General features: G+C 49.3%; 1 protein-coding gene across 6 annotated transcripts in view, besides 2 other annotated features; it reads right to left on the bottom strand.

Annotated features, from left to right (window-relative positions):
- Positions 1-26,549, bottom strand: part of INPP5A (inositol polyphosphate-5-phosphatase A) — a 245,694-nt gene that overhangs the window by 175,474 nt on the left and 43,671 nt on the right. For all 6 annotated transcript variants that reach the window (XR_001747104.2, XR_945735.2, XR_007061963.1 and 3 more), the window contains exon 2: positions 51-92. Coding sequence is in view for 2 of the 6 variants with exons in the window: in NM_005539.5 (NP_005530.3) it covers positions 51-92 (42 nt within the window). In the remaining 4 variants the exon portion in view is untranslated. The remainder of the gene's footprint in view (positions 1-50; positions 93-26,549) is intronic.
- Positions 14,502-14,581: an enhancer, noted in NCBI's record as "active region_4235". NCBI's record gives its function as "activates an Ori minimal core promoter by ATAC-STARR-seq in GM12878 lymphoblastoid cells {active_cell/tissue: GM12878}" and the evidence as "EXISTENCE:reporter gene assay evidence [ECO:0000049][PMID:35858748]".
- Positions 14,961-15,040: an enhancer, noted in NCBI's record as "active region_4234". NCBI's record gives its function as "activates an Ori minimal core promoter by ATAC-STARR-seq in GM12878 lymphoblastoid cells {active_cell/tissue: GM12878}" and the evidence as "EXISTENCE:reporter gene assay evidence [ECO:0000049][PMID:35858748]".

Here is a 26,549-nt window from a genome sequence, read left to right as displayed (position 1 = left end):
CTTATTGGCTAAGTAATGAATCCAAAAGAACACGTTTCAGTGGTTCTTACCTGGTAAAATTCCCGAAGCCAGTTCTTCTGCAGGTTTTCTGGCTGTAAATTAAGAAGAAAAAGAAAAGCCAGTCAGACCAATGGCACAGCCCTAAACAGAGCCAGGACAAGCTCCTGTGAAGACAACGTGGGGCAGGAGCAGAGGCGCAGCCCGGGCCCACCCCGCATGGAGGAGCTCCACCCGCACGGGGAAACCCCAGGCCCACGCGGGGACCCCGCTCTGTGTGGGGGCTCCGCTCTGTGCTGTCCCAGGGACATGGTGCACGATGCACTCTGTCTCAGGAAAGCTCGGGCAGCGTCGCGCAGCCCCCACACGGGTGGCGAGGAGGGGAAGGCTCTGTGTTGCTCCAGCCTCCAGCCTCCCAGGGAAGAGACGGCTCAGCCAGTAACCCAGCTTCAACAAGCAAGACGGTGGCACCTTTCCACACCCGCCCCTGCCTGAGCCAAAGCCCCTTCACAGGCACTAGACAAAGCTGAGCTTTGTGGAGTACAAAACATCATGGTCGCATATGGCATTTCTGTGTGTTTGGGGTGAAGAGCAAGGGGCTTTTATAGAGTCCGTCACAACTGTCAGAATCTTCAGAAAGCACTTGCTAGAGCCATCAACAGAAAACCTACCACATGCCACAGGCGTGCACACACGTGCACACACGCAAGGAAACTCCAGCCCCGCCAGAGACCCAGGCCCCAGGAAGCTCCTGGACAGAATCGGAGGAGCTAAGCGCAAGCCTGAAAATGCCACTGCTTCAGGAGAAGGGACGGCCCAGTCGCTCTCCACCCTGACCGCTCCGCTGAGCCCCAGGCCACCTGGCTGCTCCTGGGCTCTGTGCCAGCTCCGGCCAAGGGCAGCACAGCCATTCAAACCCAAGAGGAGGGAGGTCACCGCGGACGAGGCTGAGCGCGAGCACTCAGCACAAGCCGCCCACGCTCAGGAAGCACCCCAGCTCCAACATCGCCCACCGTGAGGGGACAGAGTCAGCATCTAAAAGGGTAGAGTTTCCATTTTGCGAGAGAACAAGTTCTAGAGATCCGTGCAACAACGTGAATGTACTTAGCACTAAGGAACTGCACACTCGGAAACGGTTAAGGTGGTAAATTTAATGTTGTGGGTTTTTGCCGCGATTAAAAACAATAAACAAGGCCCTGCCCCCGCTCCCATCGGGACTAAAGCCCCTGCCCTGGTCTCAGCCTCCGTGGCCGTGGGCATGGGGCCAAGGCGTGCAGGCCGCCAGTGCAGCTGGGCCCAGACTCCGCGCCCACGCAAACACAACAGCATCGCAAGGCTGGCCACACACCAGGCGCGCTCCTCCGTTCACTTGCTGACGGGTCTAAGAACCCTAAAAAGCAGGAAGACTGAATTTTAGATAAATTAATGAAAAATAAAAAACCTGACAAGAAACAAGAGCTTCACAGATCACAGGACCGAGCCGAGAACACCCTGGCTCCAGGCTTCAAGGACACACAACCCCAGCACACACACACGCGAAGGGAGAGAATCGCCCACTGCGGCTCTGAGCACCCCCATGCCCTGCCCTCTGGGTCCAGGGACCTCCTCGTGGGACGCACGCAACCGCCCCAGCAGGAGGGGAGGCCATCAGCCCACGCCACTGTCCCGCCACTGAGGACCCGGCAGGAGGGGAGGCGACTGACCCACGCCGCTGTCCCGCCACTGAGGACCCGGCAGGAGGGGAGGCGACTGACCCACGCCGCTGTCCCGCCACTGAGGACCCTCAGCCCACGTGGACAGCCTCCCTTGGCCCCAGCTCCTACCAGCAAGTCCCCATCGAGGGTCCCAGCCCCACATCCAGCTGCAGCTGCGTGCCCAGCAGCCCTGCCCAGGAGCCACCCTAAACACCAAACGCACAAATGTGACAGCGGACACCTGGACACACCGTTCACTGTGTGCACCTCGCCCCAGTAACACGCGCTCCAGCCCAATTCATGGGTCATGACCTCATTTAAACCGTGGATATGACTTCCCCCAACATTGACTGTGGATCCACTAAGGTTAATAAGCCCAGACAGTCCTAACACGGTGCTCTAAACAAAGACATCCGTGTTTGCTGACTGTTTATGAGGAGGCACTCAAAGGCTGTGAAATAATTAGACCAAAAGTCTAAATGAAAGATGAGAGCAAAAACACTCCAAAGAAGGAAGAGAAGAAACGTGAAAAAAAGACAAGGCCCTCAAGGCCTTCAGTTCTTGCCTTTGGCACACACCCCAACACTAGTCGGGGCCACTGTGACGGCCACGGTGACCATGGGGCCCTGCCCAGGGGCCACTTTCTGGCCCGCGTGGCGCTGCTGCGTCTGCCTGGCTGACCCCAGCTTGGAAGCTCCCAGGGCCTCCTGGGCCCCATCCCACCATCCCACCATCCCACCAGCCTCCCTTGGCCTCAGTGCCACTGTGTCACTTCCAGGACATCCCCCAGGGGATCCACGCCCTCCCTGTCCCCTCCCCATCCCCAGCCCCTTCCCCATCCCTCCAAGGGATCCACACCCTCCCCATCCCCTCCCCATCCCCAGCCCCTTTCCCATCCCTCCTGGGGATCCACTCCCTCCCTGTCCCTTCCCCATCCCCCAGCCGCTTCCCCCTCACTCCTGGGGGATCAATGCCCTCCCCATCCCCTCCCCATCCCCAGCTGCTTCCCCCTCACTCCTGGGGGATCCACCCACTCCCCATCCCCAGCCCCTCCCCCACTCCCTCCTGGGGGATCCACTTCTTCCCCATCCCCAGCCCCTCCCCCACTCCCTCCTGGGGGATCCACTTCTTCCCCATCCCCAGCCCCTTCCCCACTCCCTCCTGGGGGATCCACTTCTTCCCCATCCCCAGTCCCTTCCCACTCCCTCCTCAGGGATCTCCCTGCTCTGTCCTTACCTGCTTCCAGTCTACACTCCACAGGCAGCCAGGGTGATTCTCAGAAAACACAAGTGGATCCACCCTCCAGGGCCCTCCTGCTCTCTCAGGATAAACAGCAAAGGCCTTCCAGGTCTGCACAGCCACCAGGCCCTGAGCCCGTGGCCTCCCTGCCCTCCGCTCCACCTGCTTTGCTCTGAGTCTCAGACATTTGGTCCTCTGGCCCCAGGGCCTTTGCACTCTCTCTTTGCAGACTGGCAACAGCCCCCATGCCTTCACTGCTCACAGGTCTGATCAAATACTGTCTTCTCCATCAGTTCAATTTTCCCTGGGTCACTGAGCTTCCCCAGACCAATAGGTGACCCCTAATCCCAGCGTTTTTCCATCCTGAGCAGTGAGGCTGCATCATGTTCCTTCTCTGTCTTCCCTCCATCCAGGAAAAGGACATTTCACTATGCAGCCCCACAGACCACAGTGTGCAAGTAGCATAGCTTGAGGAATTGATATGACAAGAAAACCTTTTCAACTACTATTGAGCTCTGGGCAAACACACCATAAGGAAGATTAAGACACCCCTTTCCCCCCAAACCTCACCAAATAACAAACGGGGGGAAGAGGAAGAGAAGGATGCTCCAGAGGCAACAAAACAGGGTCTGACTGCATCCTCGCTCCTGAGCGTAGCAGTCACGGGAAAGGAGGATGTTTGCAGGGCAAGCGTCAGAGAGGGGACCCTGACAGCACAGGGCAGGATGGAGAGGGGACCCTGATGGCACAGGGCGCGCCAGAGAGGGGACCCTGACAGCACAGGGCAGGATGGAGAGGGGACCCTGACGGCACAGGGCAGGATGGAGAGGGGACCGTGACAGCATAGGGCAGGATGGAGAGGGGACCCTGACAGCACAGGGTACGCCAGAGAGGGGACCCTGACGGTGCAGGGCAGGATGGAGAGGGGACCCTGACAGCACAGGAGCACAGGGTGCGCCGGAGAGGGGACCCTGACAGCACAGGGCGGGACAGAGAGGGGACCCTGACGGCACAGGGCGGGACAGAGAGGGGACCCTGACGGCACAGGGCGGGACAGAGAGGGGACCCTGACGGCACAGGGCGGGACGGAGAGGGGACCCTGACGGCGCAGGGCGGGACGGAGAGGGGACCTTGACGGCGCAGGGCTGGACGGAGAGGGGACCCTGACGGCGCAGGGCAGAACTCAGGTGATGCAGCAGAGCCCAGAAGTCAGAAAGGAAAGACCACAGTGACCCACACCATGTCCACACAGTACAGAACCAAGGGCTGAAAACGGAGGCAGGGAAAGGTGGAACAGAGTGTCTCTGTTACAAACTAACAAAACACAAGTAATAGAATCTATTAAATCAGCAAGTGGGGCCCAGGAGCTGAGAGGCTGCCTAAGAATCATGATACCTTCCAAACCAGAGCATTCATAAACGTGCTCTAAAATTAAAATGTATTCTTAAACGCTACATTCTTCAAGTTTAGAAAAGTTTTCTTATCCTTAGAGGAATTGTAGAGCTTTATCTCTTGCACCAATAAATATTTATCTCAAATTCAGAAGTTCCTTGAGTTTCACTTCAGTGTCTGTTTCTCCTGACAATTTGAGCAGGATTAAATTTAACTGGTGAAGCACAGCCTGTCCTCCTTGCTGGAGCTCTGCAGACTGGGATGACGTTTATTCCACGTGGACAAGCGTTCTTTCTGGGTAGTGGGAGCTGGAGTGATCTGTAATTTTCTATAGTGCATATTCTGAAGGGAAGGGAGAAACAGACCTTATAAAATGATTCCATTTTAGTGAGAAGTACTAAAAAACTGAGATGATCTTTAGCGTGTTTGCTATACAGCCCCTAATAGAGAATACCCACATGAGAGACCAAGATGCCAGAGGCAGCCTGGCCCACAGCCGCCCAGAAGGCCCAACTCTTCCCCTTTGTAGCTTCGGAAGGCAGAGACGTCAGCAGGAGAGATTGAGGCATTTCACACTGTTGAGGGAAGAGGCATTAATTGACAAGCAATACTAGGACTAGTTAAATATTTACTTTTAAAATGCTATATTAGATCCTTTCTTTATTCCACAAAGAAACTAAACTCCAGATAGATTCAGAAGATATGAACATAAGACTTGAAACCACAAAGGAATCAGGAGAGAAAATAAGCAAATTGCTGTCATCGTGGTAGAAAAACAGCCTTTCTAGACACAAAAGGAAAGAAAGGACCTCTGAGAGAGAACGTGCCTGTAGATTACCACCCACAGTGAATGCACTCAATAGTGGATGACAGAAAGCTTTCCCTCTAAGAGCAGGAACACCAGGATGCCCGCGCTCATCACTACCATTCAACACTGCACTGGTAGGCCCAGCCTGGGCAATTAGGCAAGAAAATGAAAGAAAAGGTACCCGAATGGGAACGGAAGAAGTAAAATTATCTCTGTTCACAGACTATATGCTCTTATGTATACAAAACCCTAGAAATTCCACCAAAAAATTGATAGAAATAAGGCCGGGCGCAGTGGCTCATACCTGCAATCCCAGCACTTTGGGAGGCAGAGGCAGGTGGATCACCTGAGGTTAGGAGTTCAAGACCAGCCTGGCCAACATGACAAAACCCTGTCTCTACTAAAAATACAAAAAATTAGCCAGGCATGGTGGTGCATGCCTGTGGTCCCAGCTACTCGGGAGCTGAGGCAGGAGAATCACCCGAATCCAGAGGCAGAGGTTGCAGTGAGCCGAGACTGTGTCACTGCACTTCAGCCTAGGTGACAGAACGAGACTCCGTCACAAAAATTCAGCAATTCAGCAACGTGGCAGGATATAAGATCAACACACAAACAACACTAACAATGAACAATGTGAAAAGAAAATGTTTTAAAATCCCATTTATAACAGCATCGAAAAGAATAAAAAACTTAGAAATAAACTTAACCAAGGAGGCAAGACTTGAACACTGAAAGCTACATAATGTTGCTGAAAGAAATTCAGATATCCATTCCATGTTCACAAACTGGAGTTAACGTTATTAAGATGCTGATGCTACCCAAAGAAACCTGCAGATTCAATTCCATTTATATCAAAATCCCAATGACTTTCTTTTGCAGAAACAGAAAAGTCCACGCTAAAATTCATATGGAATCTCAAGGGACCCTGAATAGCCAAAAATAGCCTTAAAAAAGAAGAACAAATTGGAAACCTCACAATTCCTTATGTGGAACTTACTACAACCTAAAGCAGTCAAAACAGTGTGGTCCTGGCACAAGACAGACATGTGGACCAATGGAATGGAATAAAGAGCCTTGTAATATGGTCAAATGATTTTTGACAGTGGTGCCAAGACCATTCACTGGGGAAAAGAACAGTCCTTTCAACAAATGAGGCTGGGAAAACTGGATAACCGCATGCAAAAGAATGAAACTGGTTTCTTACCTTACACCACAGACAAAAATTAACTCAAAATGGATCAAAAATCTAAAACTATAAAAATTCTTAGAAGAAAACATAGGGGAGAAACTTTGTGACACTGGATTTGACAATGACTTCTTAAATGCAATATCCAAAGCACAGGCAACAAAAGGAAAAACAGACAAGCGGGACATCAAACTTAACAACTTTTGTGCATCAAAAGCCACTATCAATAGGATGAAAGACAAGCCACAGGATGGAAGAGAATATCTGCAAGTCATGTGTCTGCTAACGGGTTAATATTCAGAATATATTTTTAACCTTCTACAACTCAACAACAAAAGGACATACAACCCCATTAAAAATAGGAAGAGGACTTAAACAGTTTTCTAAAGAAGACATATGAAATGGTCAACGTGCACATGAAAGGATGTTCATTATCACTAATCATTAAGGAAATGCAAATGAAAACCATAATGAAATGCCATTTCACACCCATTAGGATGGATACGATGGATATTATACAAAACATTAAAATTGAAAAGAGAAAATAATAAGTGTTGGGATGAGATGGAGAAATGGGACCCTTGTGCACTGCTGGTGGGAATGTAACATGGTGCCATCGCTATGAAGAAAAATGGCAGCTCCTCCAAAAATTAAACAGAATTACTATACAGTGAAGCAATTCCACTGCTGGCTATATTCCTGATGTGGTTTGGCTGTGTCCCCACCCAAATCTCAACTTGAATTGTATCTCCCAGAATTCCCATGTGTTGTGGGAGGGACCCAGGGGGAGGTAATTGAATTATGGGGGCCAGTCTTTCCCATGCTATTCTCGTGATAGTGAATAAGTCTCATGAGATCTGATGGGTTTATCAGGGGTTTCTGCTTTTGCTTCCTTCTCATTTTCTCTTGCCACTGCCATGTAAGAAGTGCCTTTTGTCTCCTGTCATGATTCTGGGGCCTCCCCAGTGATGTGGAACTGTAAGTCCAATTAAACCTCTTTTTCTTCCCAGTCTCAGGTATGTCTTTACTGGCAGTGTGAAAATGAACTAATACGGTAAATTGGTACCAGGAGTGGGGTATTGCTGAAAAGATACCCGAATATGTGGAAGAGACTTTGGAACTGCATAACAGGCAGAGGTTGGAACAGTTTGAAGGGATGAGAAGACGACAGGAAAATGTGGGAAAGTTTGGAACTTCCTGGAGACTTGCTGAATGGCTTTGCCCAAAATGCCAACAGCAATACAGACAGTAAAATCCAGGCTGAGGTGGTCTCAGATAGAGATGAGGAACTTGTTGGGAACTGGAGCGAAGGTGACCCTTGTTATGTTTTAGCAAAGAGACTGGCAGCATTTTGCCCGTGCCCTAGAGATGTGTGGAACTTTGAACTTGAGAGATGATTTAGGGTATCTGGTGGAAGGAATTTCTAAACAGCAAAACATTCAAGAAGTGACTTCAGTACTGTTAAAGGCATTCAGTTTTCTAAGGGAAGCAGAGCATAAAAGCTTGGAAAATTTGAAGCCTGAATATGTGATAGAGAAGCAAAACCTATTTTCTGGGGAGAAACTCAAGTCAGCTGCAGAAATCTGGGTAAGTAGCAAGGAGCCTGTTGTTAATCCCCAAGACCATGTGGAAAATGTCTCCAGGCCACATCAGAGACCTTCATGGCAACACCTCCCACCACAGGCCCAGAGGCCCAGGAAGAAAAACTGGTTTCATGGGCCAGGCCCAGGGTCCCCATGATGTGTGCAGCCTAGGGTCTTGGTGACCTGCATCCCAGCCACTCCAGCCGTGGCTAAAAGGGGCCAACATACAGCTCGGGCTGTGGCTTCAGAGGGTGGAAGCCCCAAGACTTGGCAGCTGCCAGTGGTGTTGAGCCTTCAGGTGCACAGAAGACAAGAACTGAGGTTTGGGAACCTCCACCCAGATTTCAGAAGATGTATGAAAATGCCTCGATGTCCAGGCAAAAGTTTGCTGCAGGGGTGGGGCCCTCATGGAGAATCTCTGCTAGGGCAGTGCAGAAGGGTAATGTGGGGTCAGAGCCCCCACACAGAGTCTCTATTGGGGCAATGCCTAGTGTAGCTGTGAGAAGAGGGCCACCATCCTCCAGTCCTCAGAATGGCAGATTCACCAACAGCTTGCACTGTGTGCCTGGAAAAGCCGCAGACACTCAATGCCAGCCCATGAAAGCAGCCGAGAGGGAGGCTGTACCATGCAGAACCGCAGGGGCGGAGCTGCCCAAGATCGTGGGAGCACACCTCTTGCAACAGTGTGACCTAGATGTGAGACCAGGAGTCAAAGGAGATCATTTTGGAGCTTTAAAATTTGACTGCCCCGCTGGATTTCGGACTTGCATCGGCCCTGTAACCCCTTTGTTTTGGCCAATTTCTCCCATTTGGAACGGCTGTATTTACCCAATACCTGTACCTCCATTGTATCCAGGAAGTAACTAGCTTGCTTTTGATTTTACAGGCTCATACATGAAAGGGACTTGCCTTGTCTCAGATAAGACTGGACTGTGGACTTTTGGGTTAATGCTGCAATGAGTTAAGACTTTGGGAGACTGTTGGGAAGGCATAACTGGTTTTGAAATGTGAGGACATGAGGTTTGGAGGGGCCAGGGATGGAATGATATGGTTTGGCTGTGTCCCCACCCAAATCTCACTTGAATTGTATCTCCCAGAATTCCCACCTGTTATGGGAAGAACCCAGGGGGAGGTAATTGAATCATGGGGGTTGGTCTTTGCTGTGCTATTCCCATGATACTGAATAAGTCTCAAGAGATCTGATGGGCTTATCAGAGGTTTCCGCTTTTACTTCTCTCTCATTTTCTCTTGCTGCAGCCATTTAAGAAGTGTCTTTCACCTCCTGCCATGATTCTGAGGCCTCTCCAGCCATGCGGAACTATAAGTCCAATTAAGCCTCTTTTTCTTCCCAGTCTCAGGTACGTCTTTATCAGCAGCATGAAAATGAACTAATACAATTCCCAAAAGAACTGAAAGCAGGAACTTAAACAGATATCGGTACACCCACAATCAGCCAGAAGCTGGAAGAAACCCAAGTGTCCATCCACGGACAAATGGATACAATTGTGGTCTATCCACATAACTCAGCCTTAAAAAGGAAGGGTATTCTGACTATGCAACAACCTTGAGAACATTATGCTAAGGAAAATAAGCCAAACACAAAAAGACAAAGAATGTATGATCGCACTCATGTGAGATATCTGGAGTCATCAGATTCATGGAGACAGAAAGTAAAATGTTGGTGACAAAGGAACTGGGGGCAGACAGGGACTCAGTGTTTAACGAGGACAGAGCTGCAGTTTTACAAGATTAAAAGAGATCTGGAGATGGATGACAGTGATGGTTATGCAACATTATGAATGCATTTCATGCCACTGAATTGCACCCTTAAACATGGTTAAGATGGAAAATTTTATACCCATTTTACCGCATTAAAAAGGTGGAGGTAATCTCCATCGCCACAGCGCCACTCAAGCAGCCGAGCCACACACTGAGTCTCCACACGTCTGAGAGCTGCACTTTACTCACCTCATATAAAATGAAAAAAAGAGAAAGTTCTGACCCTAGCAGTAGGAAGGGTAGGTCCCAGACGCCCAAGCGAAATCAAACAAAAACTGCAATTGAAATTAAAACAGACAGTAAATCTGAGACCTGCCCAAAAGGCCCAGAGTCACTATGTGTAGCACAGCCCGGGAACACGCACCACAGGCCCAGGGTCACTACGCGTAGCACAGCCCCGCAGGACGCACCACAGGCCCAGAGTCACTACGCATAGCACAGCCCCGGAACACGCACCACAGACCCAGAGTCACTGCGCATAGCACAGCCCCGGAACACGCACCACAGGCCCAGGGTCACTACGCGTAGCACAGCCCCGGAACACGCACCACAGGCCCAGGGTCACTACACGTAGCACAGCCCCGCAGGACGCACCACAGGCCCAGGGTCACTACACGTAGCACAGCGCTGCAGCACACACTAAAGGACAAAACACTGGAAACAGAGGAACAAGCAGACACGTGCAATGCACACAGATGTTAATACAGTTTTTACAACCGCTCTGCATATAAACATATCCCCAACATGTAACACTATTGTTTAACTTGCCTAATGCATTCCTGAAGATGTGTAAGAAATTATATAATTTCTTAAAATTCACAACTGAAATAACAATATAATATCCTAATATGTGACTCAAATTTTATCCCACTGAATGTAAGCACTTTCACAACAAACCACAATATCCTCAATGAAGAAAATGTGGATATAGAAACTTCCCACCACCTGCAGGAACAGGGGAGATGGCCCGAGTCCTTGTGGATGAGCTGACAGACCACATCCAGACACCCTGACACATCTTCTGAGACTGAGAGAAGAGGGAGAGGACAGTAGCACAAACACTGAGAAGAACAGAAAAGGTTCTGTCACTTAGGGCTTCAAATTACTAGAAAATAAACCCTCGGCCATGAAAACACAAGTGCATGTGCATACGCACACATGCGCACACACACTCACACACATGCATGCACACATGCACACGTGCACATACCCATGCACACACATGCAAACACATGCACACATACACACACGCACACACGTACAGGAGCCTGCACACACACATGCATGCATACACATGCACACATGCACACACGTACAGGAGCGTGCACACAAACACACGTGCATGCACACACGCATGCACACACGCACACATGTGTGCACACACGCACACATGCGTGCACATGCGCGCACACATGCACACATGCACAGGAGCCTCCAAACACACGTGCATGCACACACATGCACACACATGCACACACACGCATGCACACACGCACACAAGCAAACACATGGACACACACAAACGCGCACATGTACAGGAGCCTGCACACAAACACACATGCATGCATACACACGTACACAAACATGCACACACACATGGGCCGGGCGTGGTGGCTCACGCCTGTAATCCCAGCACTTTGGGAGGCCAAGGAGGGTGGATCACGAGGTCAGGAATTCTCAAGAACAGCCTGGCCAACATAGTGAAACCCTGTCTCTACTAAAAATACAAAAAAATTAGCCGGGCATGGTGGTGGGTGCCTGTAATCCCAGCTACTCAGGAGGCTGAGGCAGGGGAATCGCTTGAACCTGGGAGGTGGAGGTTGCAGTGAGCTGAGATGGTGCCACTGCACTCCAGCTGGGTGACAGTGCGAGACTCCATCTCAAAAAAAAAAAACAAAACAAAACATGCACACACACGCACACACACTTGGGTGTCCTCTTCTGCCAAGATCAAAGACAAAAAAGAAATTTTGAATGTACATGTGCCAGAAGCTTTTATAAAATTAGACCCTGCCTACCACGACACCCTTTAATTGAGGGCCATTCATCCTGCCCAAACTGGTCTTTACTGGGCCATGCCGCCACGCCGCCATGCCACGTCCATGTAGCTGTCCCACTGGGTGATGGGCACAAACTAGAGAGACTGAACCCTTTCCCAGGAGCAGCTCTGGCAAGAAGTCCTCGGAGGTACAGCCACGTTTGGTTAATGTAGTTATTTTTAAAACCACTGAAGTGAGAGTAAAAAATAAACAAACTAGGTCTTAAAGAAATGCTCAAATTTCAGCCCACAGGCCAAGCAGCTCTGCGTGTGTTCAGCCACCATATGAAAGAAAGCACATGCCTTCTTTTTCTCTTAAACACCCAAAAATTCTTCTCTTGGTCTCAAAGAACAATACAAAAACTATGAAAATATGGGAAATGTTAAAAAAAAAAAACTCATTACTTTCAAATGTGGAACTCTATTTCTGGGAGTCAGTCCTTAAAAAAGTAATTCTAAAGAGCAAAAATGCTCTGTCAACAAAGAAGTTCATAATAGCATCATTTATAAGAGAATTACAATTAGAATACTGCAGAAAAATATTACAGAAGGCACCTCAATAAAGAAAGTTACACAGGGCGTCCACGGAAGGAAAGAAGAGGGAGGAATCAAAAACAAATTTATTGGATAAAACATGACGTGGAGATAGACAGGGTGCCAGTGACAAACACCCCAATGTAGGTAAGGAAGGCACTGAACTACACACTCACCAACAAACACTGGAATGTAGGTAAGAAAGGCAGTGAGCCAGACACTCACCAACAAACACCGCAATGTGGGTAAGAAAGGCAGTGAGCTACACACTCACCAACAAACACCACAATGTAGGTGAGGACGGCAGTGAACTACACAGTTACCAGTGGTTAAAATAACAAGTATTAGGTATATGTTATCAAAGTAAAGATTTACAATGAGCACATAGACATGGAAGACACTTATACTCTAAAAAAATGGATTGAACACAAAATAAATCACACCTCACACAAGCCCCCACCGGCGCGAGCAGCCCACATGGCCACCTGCAGACGTGGCCCTGCAGAAACTGCATGCCCTGGCCCCCTTCCTCGCTGTGGCCAATGCAAAGGCACAGCTGGCCCCTGAGGGTCCGCGGGGACTCCAGAAAGGGTGCCAGCACGTCACAGGAGCCCCTCATGCCGAGCGCTGTCAGCACTCCCAATGGTATTCTCAATAGGAAAAGGGAAAAAGACAGAAAAAAACGCCCAAAGGTTGGAGTGGGTATTTGAGGCAGAGGTATTTCTTTTTCTCTTCTTTATTTTTAACATGCCTATAATCATCACGCATTACTTTCCTATTTTTTAACTCTTAATTTTAAAGGCTTTAGGAAGAAGAAAACAACGAAAGCCACTTTGGCCAGAATGTTAAATAACTGCCTGTCACTAAGAGCAATAACAAAGGGCAAATGGCAGACGGGGAGAACCATGGAGAACCTCATACAGCCTGCAGGGCTGGCAGGGGGACCGCCTACCAGAGAGCTCCAGGCAGGCAGCTGTGGGGCAGAGGTCCCCACCTCAGGAAGAGCTGCTACAACTGGGCCAGCAAAGACAACCACCCAAACACACATGCCACACACGTGCAGGCACACACACACCCACCACGCCACACATATGCACCCCACACACATGCATGCACCACACACCACCCATGCACAGGCACACAAACGCACCCCACACACTCACATACCACACACCTATGCATGTGCATGTGGGCACACCTACACACGCATGCACCACACACCACCCGTGCACAGGCATGCAAACGCACCCCACACACTCACCACATGCCTATGCGTGTGGGCACACCTACACACACACGTTCAAAAACCACCTAGGCCGTTGCTACAGGACTGGCCGGTGTAGATGACGGAATGTTTCCACCGACGCAGGAAGTCTCAGTACGTTCCGCAGTGATGGACACGTTCTAGACCTGCACTAGCCACGTCTGTCCTTTAAATGAGGCTACTGGTGACTGAACAGTTTTTTTATTGCATGTAATTTTAGTTCACTTAAATTTTAATAATCACACGCGGTTAGAGGCTACATTACTACACAGCACAGCTCTAGATCACAGCACAAGAAGGAAAGTTCTAAGTTCCTATTATGAGACAAACATAACATTGGCATATAAACAGGATGAAGACAGCGTATGTGCAAAAGGGAAACCTTCAAACCAGCCTCATGTGTGCACTCATGTGTGTGCCACGACACACACCCCAAAGATCCAGCAGCACGTTAAAAACTTCACACATAGTAAGCAAGCGAGTGACTATTCTATACATACAGACATGGATGATTCACTGTTAGGAAAACTGCTAATACAACTGATCACACCAACAGATCTAAAAAAGTCTAATGATTATCTTTATAGTTCCTGGCAAACTTAAAGAATTCCAGTTACAGTTGCAACATATAAGAGCTTTGAAAATTTCCAAAATTAGTGCCAGACACCAAACCACAGATCCACGAAGCCCAGAGAACATCAAGCAGAATAAATACCAAAAAATCTATACCTAGGCAGATCATATCCCAATTGTAGAAAATCACAAATAAAGAAAATCTTGAAAGAAGCAAGAAAAAAATACATCTTAGCTATAGAGGAACAAGGACAAGAATTAGAGTGAACTTGTCAACAGAAACCACACCAGCAAGAAGAGACTGGAGGGACTACCCCCCGACCCCAGTCATGTGTACAGCAAAATCATCCTTCGAAAGTGAAAGAAAAATAAACTTTCTCACACAAAAAAGTAGACATGCCCTGTAAGTCATGTTGAAAAAGTTCTTCAGGAAGGAGAATATGACACAACTCAAAATTCCGGATGTACATAGGAAAGGAAGAATGATGGAGAAGTAATAAATGAAGGTTAATTTTTTTTAAGTTTACTGAAAAGTTCTTCAATTAAAGTCAACAACCATTTGTCATAAAATTGTAATGCAGGATCCCAGCAGGCCCGCAGGGCTCCCCACGCCCCGGCATTCACATCCAGTGTAATCCCCGTCCTCAGTGCAGGTGGGACCTATGAACCGGGGAAGACGGCGCGCCCATGCATAGGCTGAGGCAAAGGTGAAAGTGTCAGGCAGACATAATGAAGCTCCATCTCCAGCTGATCTTAGGTTAATCAAAAGGGAGATAATCCTGGGTGGGTCTCATCTTATCGAAGAGCCACTTCAGAGTGAGTCTAAAGGTCTGAGGCTGTAAGCAGAGGGCAGTCTCTCCCCGATAGGCTCTGGCACAAGAAGCTGTGAGTCCTACAACCACAGGGAAATGATATCTGCCAAGCACCTGAGGCAGTCTGAGAGCAGGCCCTGCCTAGTTGGGCCTCCAGATGAGAACACAGCCCACTGAGAACAGGCAACCTGACTGCAGCCGCGTGAGACCTGAGCAAAGGACCCAGCAGGCTGAGCCCTGACTCCACCCTACAGAAGCATGAAACAACAAACTGGTGTTATTTTAAGCCACGACATCCGTGGCCACCTGTTACACAGCACAGAAAGTCCTGCGTGTGCCTCAGATTAGGACTATACATGCCTGTATCAGAAAATAAAATTAATATTATTTTAAACATTTTTGGCCGGACACGGTGGCTCACGCCTGTGATCCGAGCACTTTGGGAAGCCAAGGCGGGCGGATCACCTGAGATCAGGAGTTTGTGACCAGCCTGGCCAACATCACAAAACCCCATCTCTACTAAAAATAGCTGGGTGTGGTGGCGCCCGCCTGTAGTCCCAGCTACTTGGGAGGCTGAGGCAGGAGAATCACTTGAACCCGGGAGGCGGAGGCTGCAGTGAGCTGAGGTCGTGCCACTGCACTCCAGCCTGGGCCACAGAGCAAGACTCCATTTCAAACAAACAAACAAACAAACAAACAAACATTTTTGCCCCACTTAGATTTTGTTTTGGTATAATGTCTATAGTAAGACCCCAATTTAAACCTTTCCCCGAATAGTTAACAAACTATCTTACAATGGATTGTTAAACTGTATGAATCCTCCTGTTCCTCACACTACTATGCAGTCAACCTGCCCCTCCCTCTCTCAGGTAGCTTTACCAAATGTGTGCTTCATTTATGTTTTCAAACTGTTGCCATTTCCTTAATTTGCTGTCTTTCTGGGGTTTTTTTCTGTATTTTATTCAATAATTTTTGGATTTATATAATCCTTCCGTAATTCCCTCATTTATGGCACAGTTCTATACTCTAGCCTTATAAGTGAAACGCTTTGTCTTTTCACTGTTATTATTTCTTGTTTAATAGCAACAACGCTGAATACCACGCTGAATACCACATGAGACGTGGATTCGAAACATCCCACCCCACACACGCTGACACCTCATCCCAGAGCCGGCTCTTTCCTCCTGGGCAAACCCAGTCATTCCCTCGGACAAGGAAACACAGCAAGGGCGCCCGTTACGCCCAGTGCCATTTCACCTGACATATCGGGGGAGGGAATGAGACCCGAAAGGGAACACATGCAGAGGCGCAGCTCCGGGAAAGGAGATCTGAGCTCCCTGCACCTGCAGATGGCGTCACAGCACACCTGGAGGGGCAGAGAAGCAGGCAGAAAAAGGACAGACAACAGGAGAATCCAGGAAAGCAGGAGGTCCTGAAATTAACAGACAAAACAACAGCCATCACAGACACCAACAACAACCAGGCGGAAGGCCTGCTGGAAGAGAAGGCCCGCTTCCAATGCAACAAGGAAAAAGGTAACCTCACAAACGACCTTTTGCATATGTGAACATTGTGTAAGAGAAAAACTTTAAGACATTCCTGAAGGAAACGAACAAAAGCTTTGAGTCCATGAAAAGACCTCTCTTGTTTCCAGGGACCATGACTCGGCGCCATAGAGCTGTCAGTCCTCTCCAAGCGAGCGCAGAAATAGCCCTGGCCTGTCCCACAGCCTGCCAGCGGCCCGCCCCGCCCAGCCCAAACCAGACAAGGTGATTCTAAAGTTCATATGGAAAAATAAACTATGACTCAAAATCCAAACACAATCCTTAAAAAGAGTGAGTCAACTCTAACTTTTTTTAAACTTTGGCATGGCAAAATCAAAAGACAAATGTCAAACTGGTTGAAAATATTTGCAATATATATCACAGATAATTAATCTTCTTGCAATTGAAAGAACTCTTAAAAGTCAAGGGAAAATACAAAACAAAACAAAACTGATGGAAAAACGGGCAAAGGACCCATAGAGGAGTCACAGAAGATCCCCAAATGGCGTCATACATGAGGAGCCTCCTCCCGCCAAGCTGGGAGTGGGGCGATGCCACCTTCCCTGTGACAGCAGCCTGGGCCCCCAGAGCTGATGGCACAAGAAGCGCCCAAGCTCACCTTGGTAATGTTCCTGCCCAAAATCTCTAAGTGAAAACCATGGAGCAACCAACTACCTAACTAACCACGGACAGGACACAGCTAACCACGGAGCGAGCAATGACCACAGTGACCCACACGGCAGGCTGCCCTAAAGACAAGTGGGCTAGACTCTTTCAGATGGCAATGCCAGAAAGAGCAAAGCAGGGGCCGAGATGAAAAGACTCAAACACTCACGACCTCCAAAGACGGCACGTGGCCCCTGTGTACATCCAGGAAGAGGAAGAGGGGACTCAACGCTACCGAGGCTGTCTGGAAGCAACGGGGTGCGGTGATTCTAGACGCGACGCTTGAGATCACTGCACCGAGGACCCATCGCTGGAGGGTGCGACCAGCATGGTGGTCGGAACATCCTCGAACGCAGGCCCCACTGACATCTTTACACGTGTCGCAATGTCCACACCTGTGTTCCAACAGTGTCTCCCCCACACTCCTCTGTGCCCCAGGAGGTGTTGGACACAGCCAGCCTGACTTCCCAGCCTCCCTGCCGGCAGACAGCTGCTGGAAACCACCTGCACTCCTAGCGCGGACAGTGTGGGGGACATCATGGAGGCCGCACTGTCCCTCCCCACACAGAACGGCATCATCACAGACGGAGACGATACTGTCAGTCCCCACACAGGACGGCGTCACCACGGATGAAGGCCACACTGTCCCTCCCCACAGGACGGCATCTGACCACTGCAGGAGGCCCCATCCCACAGGACGGCATCTGACCACTGCAGGAGGCCGCATCCCTGGCGTCCCTCGCCAGCCACATACCTTGACCAATTATTTCAAGCCAACTTCTGGAAAGCCCAGGTGCCATAACTCTCAGCCACCTTCGAGCCTCCACTTGTAGACCGTGTCCTTTTCCAGCCGTGTTGACAATGTGAAACCATCCGTGCAGGAGCCATGGGTCTCGTCGAGGGGCTCCCCGAGGCCTGGCATGGCATTGCACATCGGTGCCCTCCCACCACGCCCTGCTCCAGCCTCCTCTGTGACCTCCCTGTGCTGGCGCCAGGCGTGGCCCTGGGTGGAGGCTGTGGGCTCCCTGGCATGGGATAACCTGCGTCACCCCCTAACCCCACAACACCCCTCGCACTGCTGGTCTGCACAGGGCGAGAGTGGAAAGCCAGGAGCGTCTCTTGGAGTCCGAGGCCACCTCTGGTCTGTCTGCTCTCTGAAGGCCATGAGACAACACCGTTTGGGAGGACAGGGCAGCAGGGCCATCCCTCTCCCACTCACCAAGCACTGCCTGGGCCCTGGCTGGCAGGGAGCACTCGGGGTTCTGGGACACACAAGACCCACAAGCTGTGCAGTGCACACCGGCAAGAAACCTCTACAGGCAGAAGGCTTCCCAAGGCAGGACTCCGTCCCAACAGGAAGAAAATGCTGGAAGCAGTGGAGGCTGTGGCCAGTGGGGCCTGAGGAAGGACAGGAGGGGCGAGTGCCTCGGCTTGGACCGCGGCCCCTACCGGAGGCCCTGGCAAAGGGACCCTCAGGGTTTGGAACCAGGTGCCCACATTCTGACCCACCATCCAGGACCTTCTGCAAACTCCACCTTCCCTTTGCCTCAAGAACCCGCACAGCAAGCCTAGTGGGAAGGCACTCCCACAGCTTCCTCGAGCCCGCATGCGCACGTGGCCCTGCAGGGTGTGGGTGCCGCCTGTCAAACGACCCCAGCGCTCCCTCAGCAGGCAGGCAGAGTGAACGCCTGGTCAGAAGGACTAGTGGGCTTCAGAGACTGGGCAGGAACCCTGCACGTGGCGCAGATGTGGATTCCAATCCACAAAAGCCGGGAGGCCTGGGCAGCAGCCCCCACACCCTGGACCACACCCCACACTCCAAGAAACAGTGACCACTGATGGCGACACACACCAGAACGTGGGACCACACACCACACTCCAAGAAACAGTGACCACCGATGGCGACACACACCAGAACGTGGGACCACAACCCACACTCCAAGAAACAGTGACCAGCGATGGCGACACACACCAGAACGTGGGACCACATCTCACACTCCAAGAAACAGTGACCACCATGACAACACACACAGAACGCGGGACCACACCCCACACTCCAAGAAACAGTGACCACTGATGGCGACATACACCAGAAAGCGGGACCACAACCCACACTCCAAGAAACGGCAACCACCGATGGTGACACACACCAGAACGTCAACTCATTTCCTTCCAAAGACTTCCTTAAAACTTTCAAATACAAGTCATTTAAAAAAAAAGCACTGTGGGTGCCTTAACCCTGTAGACGCAGCACAGGCTAAGGCCTCCTGGGGACACAGGGTGGGCGCTGTGCTGGGGGGTGGGAACCCAGGGCCGTGCTGCTGATTCCTCAGGAAATCCTGCCCCGCACGACTCGCTTATCCCTGTGGAAAAGCATTTCCTTTCATGAGAAAAGTCCTCTTGTCTGTGCAGCCATAAATACATTGCAGCTAAAAATAGTTTTGTAAAAGGAAGTAACGACTGGGCCTTCCACCAAATGAGAAGCACAAACTGTGTCCAGGCGGTGCAGGAGGAAGGCCCGTGAGAAAGGACCCAGTCTGCAAGCTGCGTCTCCCGAGTAGGACAGAGAGCTGTCTCGAAATTCAGTTTTCTCTCAGAATATTATTCCTGTTAGCTGAACCTCACAGAGCAAGAGAACTATAAAAGAAAACGGGGACACAGAGGAACAGATACCTTCTGATGAGAGATAATTCAGAAATATCCTCCTCTTTCATCAAATACAGAGACAAAATCAGCTTAAGTCTACACATGATGGCAAATTTCTCCAAAAGATGTCTGCTAGCAAACTGAATCCACTGGGAAAAGGGCTGCATACCCTAGAATCTATTTAAAATGACAACTTATCATTAGAGAGGATCAAATCCTTTTTTTTTTTTTTTTTTTTTGAGATGGAGTTTTACTCTTGTTGCCCAGGCTGGAGGGCAATGGCGCCATCTTGGCTCACTGCAACCTCCGCCTCCCGGATTCAAGTGATTCTCCTGTGTCAGCCTCCTAAGTAGCTGGGATTACAGGCGTGCACCACCATGCCCGGCTAATTTTTTGTCTTTTTAGTAGAGACGGGATTTCACCATGTTGGTCAGGCTAGTCACGAATTCCTGGCCTCAGATAATCTGCCCGCCTCGCCTCGGCCTCCCAAAGTGCTGGGGGATTACAGGCATGAGCCACCATGCCCGGCCAAATTCTAAGAAACAACACAAGTATAACTTTGAAATCATGGCATACACAAAACGCAATTATCTACAGGCCCCGTTTCTGAACGGAATCCTCTGGCTAGCTTCTGAGCACGGCATACAAACAACAAAGAGGGAGAGGCTGGAGTTCAGGCAGGTTTAAACATTGGCCCAGAAATTTCGCCTGCTCCCCGCGTCCCAACAGCTCTGGTTACAGGGACCCTGTGGACAAAGGTTCCGTCTGGTATGGCCGCATCCTTTCCCCGTCATGATTTCTGACCTCGAATCACACAGGCCATGCCAGGATCCCTGCCAGCCCCACAGAGCACACCATGGGCTGTGCTGGCAGCAGCAGAAGCAGGCTGGGCCACCCAACTGCTCCTCAATCGGACCCCCTGCCACCCCTGTGAGGATGTACCAGCCCCTCCTGCCCAGACACGGCCCTCACTCCTGCTGCCAGCAGGTAACAGGTGAGGAACGGGCCCAAGCTGCCCTGGGTCCATCTCCTGTCCGCCCTCTGAGTTCTGTGGACACTGTTCATTGCCTACTGTTTTCACACTGGCTCTCTTGTTTTTTAAATGTGTTTGTATTATTTTTTAAAACTGAAAAAATCAAGTCATAGCACACTACATGGCTCAGCTGTGACTGGAATACACGCAGTCCTAGTGACAGTGATCTTGCTGATGACAGCGTAACGATGGCGGGGGAGGGGCCACCCAGGGGACGGGGAATGATGACATTGGTCTGCAGAAGCCGACAGATGATGAAAAACTAGCTCCAGCTCCGACTCCGACTCGCTATTTACAAACACAAAGTGGGCACAAGCAGAGAACCACAGCCTCGCCGCGCTGCGCCGCCTTCTGACGCGCAGGAGAGAACCGTGGCCTCGCCGCGCTGCGCCGCCTCCTGACATGCATGCATGTTTCTTTCTCTGTTCAACTTAAATGGAAATTGCTTTTCAAAAGTCAATCATACTTGTTTCAGAAATTTGGGGAAATTCAGCGGGAGGGAAGCACAGAAGAGTTAAAATCACCAGCAGCGCCATCACCACGAGGCTCTGGCGCACGTATCCGTAACCAGCCATTTCACTCCAGATTCCAGTGACTTCACAGGAGCCCGTCGTCACCGGCCACCCTTCCAGGCCACCCATGGTGACCTCCAGTCCCCCATGCCAAGTGACGCCTCCAGATGTTCCGCAGCACCAGACACTCGGCTGACCACTTCCCACAGAGGAAGTCAACTGGGTTTCTGGGGAACGGCGTGTCGTGCCCACCCTGCCAGCCATGCGGCACTCTGTGGGGAAGGGTGACGAGGTCGCCACGGAGCTGTGAGCCCCTAGGGAGGCAGCCCCGCCCATGGTCCAGAGAGCCCCCTGCTCTCCTCACAAAAAACCAAACGTGTGCCAAGTCCCCGTCCTGGAGGGTGCTGGCTTCTGTTCTGCTGCTGACAAAACCCAGCTGCAGTAACAGAGTCGGAGGTGGGGGAGACGTGGAGAAGGCCCGAAGTCTGCTTCTCCTGACAGAGAGCCACCTCTGATGGCCCAGGAGGGTCAGCACCCCAGAAGCACAGGGCGCGTCCAGCCCCAGCTGCACGAGGCCAGTCTCTGCCCGGGTCTCCAGAGGCACACCCATTTCCCAAAGGGCAGACGTGTCCCTAAGATCACCTGACCACTGGCCCCCGGACAGAAGCGCTGGCCAGGTCTCAGGGACAAGCGGCGAGGTCCAGGGAGGCCTCCAGTTCCAAGGAGGTGAGGCTGCTTCACAATGACCCAGAGGGAAGCCCAGACACACACAGCACCCTCAGGGTGGGATCCACGCTTGGACAGAGGCTGCAGTGTCATCTGCTCCTGCTAGCAGGAACCAGCAGTGGACACCCGAAAGGACACTCCACCTGCAGGGCAGCCGCTGACGACACACATCTGTGGGGAGCGTCACACAGAAAATGAAATAAGACAGGGGCCACCCCAGAAGCAGAGGATGTGGAAAAAGAATGAAGTGCAAGAAAAGGATGAAGAAAGAGATGGTGGTATCTGAGGCTCCGTGAGACCTGGGAATCCAGGGTTGTCATCATTGCTCCTGGCTTTGCCCTGGTAATGCTTCTCACCATTGTGGAGCTTCCAGTCCAGCACACAGGCATCCCCCGTAGCTGAGGGGACACATTCCAAGACCCCCCCAGTGGACGCCTGTAACGGCAGCTAGTACCAAACCCCATATACACCATGGTTTTTCCTATACATACATACATATCCATGATAAAGTTTAACATTAGGTACAGTAAGAGATAAATAATAACTGATAATAAAATAGAACAACTAGGACAATATACGGCAAAAGAAGTTACATGAATGTGCTCGCACTCGCGCTTTCTCTCGCTCTCTCAAAATATCTTACCTAGTTTCTGACCGCAATGACATAAGGTACCTGAAACCATGGATGAGGGAGGACTACTGTACTTGTATACAAATGATTTCATTTTATTTCATTTTTAAGAACATATTTTATTTAGGTACCTGTTAATAACTTTGTATAAAAAAACTTTTGGCTCAGTTACATGACTTCTAATTTCATTTTATTGTATATGTAGTCAATGAATTTTAAAATTGCTTCCCCAAAGCACACTTTTAATCAAAACCTGGAATCAACTGCAGTCCTGTTAAAACTGCGACCTTCTAGAAGCCCCTGAAGGTCTGATTAAACAAGTTCCTTGGAAATAACTGTTCCATGTCACCAAGAAAACAGAAAACAGAAAAATCCCAGCACTTTGGGAGGCCTGAGGCCAGGAAAGACCAGTCTAGACAACACAGTGAAACCCCCATCTCTACAAAAAAATTAAAAGCTTAACCAGGCTTGTGCCTATAGTCCCATCTACTTGGGAGGCTGAGGCAGGATGACTGCTTGAGCCTAGGAGGTTGAGGCAGGGAACTGTGAGTGGGCCACTGCACTCTAGCCTGGGTGACAGAGGGAGACCCTGTCTCAAAAATAAGTAAATTAACACAAAAACAGACAATTTTAAAAATTAACAATTTTTTTTAGTTCTTAAATAGATTAGCAAAACTAATAAGCCAGTAGGTAGAATGATCAAGAATAAAAGACACAAATTACCACTATCAGGAATCAAAGAGGGGTTATCACTATAGACATTAAAAGAATAATATGAGAATATGTGAACATTGTATCAACAAATTGATAATTTACATGAAGTAGACTGATCATTTAAATAATTTTTAAGTTTATGTTTTCCTCAGAAAATAAATTTAAAATATATTTATTCCTTAAAAAACAAAACTTGGCACATAATGAATAGAAAACTTTTATCTATTAAAGAAATTTGAGTCATATCAAAAACCTTCCCACAAAAAAAGGCACAGATGGTTTCACTGGTAAATTCCATTAAACACCTAAAGAAGAAACAGCATCAATCACAGATGGCTCTTTTCAAACACAGAGGAGGGATGACACTTTCCAAATGGTTAGTGTTTTCCAAATGGTTGGTGGTTAATCTCTGAAGCCAGCATAACCCCAACACCAAAACCGGCAAAGGCATCACAGAGGCAAGGCAAAGAAACAACATTACAGGTCAACAGCTCTCACTGATGTGTACACAAAGCAAGGGCAGAAATGTTTGTTTGTTTGTTTGTTTGTTCTGGAGACGCAGTCTTGCTCTATAGCCCAGGCTGGAGTGTCGTGGCGCAGTCACAGTTCACTGCAGCCTCTACCTCCTGTGCCCAAGGAATCCTCCTACCTCAGCCTCTGGAGTAGCTGAGACTACAAGCACACACCACTGCAACTGGCTGATTTTTTTAATTTTTTGTAGAAATGGGGTTTTACCACGTTGCCCAGGCTAGTCTTGAACTCCTGGGCTCAAGCTATCCGCCCCCCTTGGCCTCCAAAAGTGCTGGGATTACAGCAATAAACCACTGTGCCTGGCCCAAAATAGATTTTTTAAAGGAATATAATGTGACCAAGTAGGGGTTAGCCCAGAAACACTAGTTTCGTTTAACTAAACAGCGATGTAATTTACCAAGTTAGCCAAATAAAGGAGAAAGTGTGGGGTCACGTTAGCACATACAGAAAAACCATCTGAGCACATTCGACATTCCTCGACGGCGAAAACGCTCAGCAGAGTATGAAATACAAGGAAACCTCCTCCCTTTGATAAAGGACATTTTTTTTTTTAAAGGAACAATGACAAAAACACTCCAGATACTCACATCCTTACTGGTGAACCACTCAATACTTTCCCCGAAAGGAAGAGCATGGCAGAAAGGCCCAGCTCCCCACGCCGACTCACCCGATGCCAAAGGTCCTGACCAGCCCAACGAGGCAGGAAAAGAAAGGAACGGCCTCAAGCCTGGAGAAAAAGGTGCTCACATGGCTCTATCTGCAAATGCCAACTGTTTACAACTGTCACCCACGGCTCCACAGAAGCTACGGTTCAGAGGGGCCATAGGACACGAGATTAGTACACAACCATGCATCTGCATCTCCATTCACTAATAGTAAACAACTGGAAAATCACACGTTTAAAAATACCATTTATAATGACATAAAAAACATAAACTACGTAACAATTCATTTACAAAAGACACAAAACCACTACACTGAAAATCACAAAATGCTGCTGAGAAAAATTAAAGACACCCTCAGTAAATGAGGTGACAACCATCTTCATAATCAGAAGACTCAGCATTGTGAAGACATCACTCCCCCGCACACTGATCTACGATTCCAAGCAATACCAGCCAGAAGCTCAGCAGGCACTCTGCAGAAATTGACAAGATGCTCTAACATCTATGTCGGAATGCAACAGGCCTGGAATATCCAAAGCAGCCTCTGCAAGAATCAAGTTAGGGATGTGCACTGACTGTAAGACTTACTCTAATGCCAACACAACTGAGGCATGTGGACCTGGAATAAAATTCAATGGACTGATGGAGCAGAATAGCGAATCCAGAAATAAAGCACACTTATACCTGGATTTTCAACAAAAATACCAAAGCAATCCAATGGAGAAAAACAAAGTATCGTGCCTGTAAACCCAGCACTTTGGGAGTTCGATGCAGGAGGGCTGCTTGAGCCCAAGAGTTTGAGACCAGCCTGGGCAAGATAGTGAGACCCCATCTCTACAAAAATTATTTTTAAAAGTAGCTGGGCATGGTGGCGCATGCCTTTAGTCCCAGCTACTCAGGAGCCTAAGGTGGGAGGATCGCTTGAGCCCGGGAGGTCAAGGATGCAGTGAGCCGTGTTGCCACTGTACTTCAGCCTGGGTGACAGAGCAAGACCCTGTCTCTTTAAAAAAAAAAAAAAAAAAAAGTTATCAACAAACAGTGGTGGAACAGCTGAATTCCATATGGAAAAAATAATAATAAACTTCAACCACTATCTCACATCATACACAAAAATTAACTTGTGATAAGTCAAAAACCCAAATGTAGACAGTAAAAGCATATAGCTTCTAAAGAAGGCAAAAAGGAAGAAGGTCTTCATGGCCTGGCAGTGAACACAGATATATTCTGCCTCAGAAAGCGAGAACCATAGAAGAATCATAACTAAAAACTGCTGCTCATGGAAACTGCCATTAAGAAAATGAGGCCGGGCGCAGTGGCTCATACCTGTAATCTCATCACTTTGGGAGGCCGAGACGGGCAGATCATGAGGTCAGGAGATCGAAACCATCCTGGCCAACATGGTGAAACCCCCGTCTCTACTAAAAATACAAAAAAATTAGCTGGGCATGGTGACAGGCACCTGTAGTCCCAGCTACTCGGGAAGCTGAGGCAGGAGAATGGCATGAACCCAGGAGGCAGAGCTTGCAGTGAGCCGAGATCGCGCCACTGCACTCCAGCCTGGGCAACTGAGCAAGACTCTGTCTCAAAAAAAAAAGAAAATGAACAGGCAAGCCACAGACTGGGGGAAAGTATCACAAAATATACATCTGACAAAGGACTGGTATCCAGAGTACATAAAGGCCCCCTGCAACTCCCTAACGAAAACAAACAACTCAAAAAAAATGGGCAAAAGATATGAACAGACACTTTGCAAAAGAAATACATGAATGGTCAATAAGCAGCTGAAAAGATGCTCACCTCCTTAATCCTCAAAGAGATGCCAATAAAACCTACAGTGAGGTCCCACTGCACACCCGCCAGAAGAGCTAAAACTGAAAAAACAAGAACACCAAATGGGGGAAGGGTGAGGAGCAGTCAAGGCCTCCACGCACTGTCAGAGGAAGAGACCAGCAGAATTGGCCTGGGAAAGTTCCAGAGCCTCT

Source organism: Homo sapiens, chromosome 10 (assembly GCF_000001405.40).
Source record: "Homo sapiens chromosome 10, GRCh38.p14 Primary Assembly".
Classification (NCBI taxonomy): Eukaryota; Metazoa; Chordata; class Mammalia; order Primates; family Hominidae; genus Homo; species Homo sapiens.
This window is presented reverse-complemented; position numbering and strand designations above follow the sequence as displayed.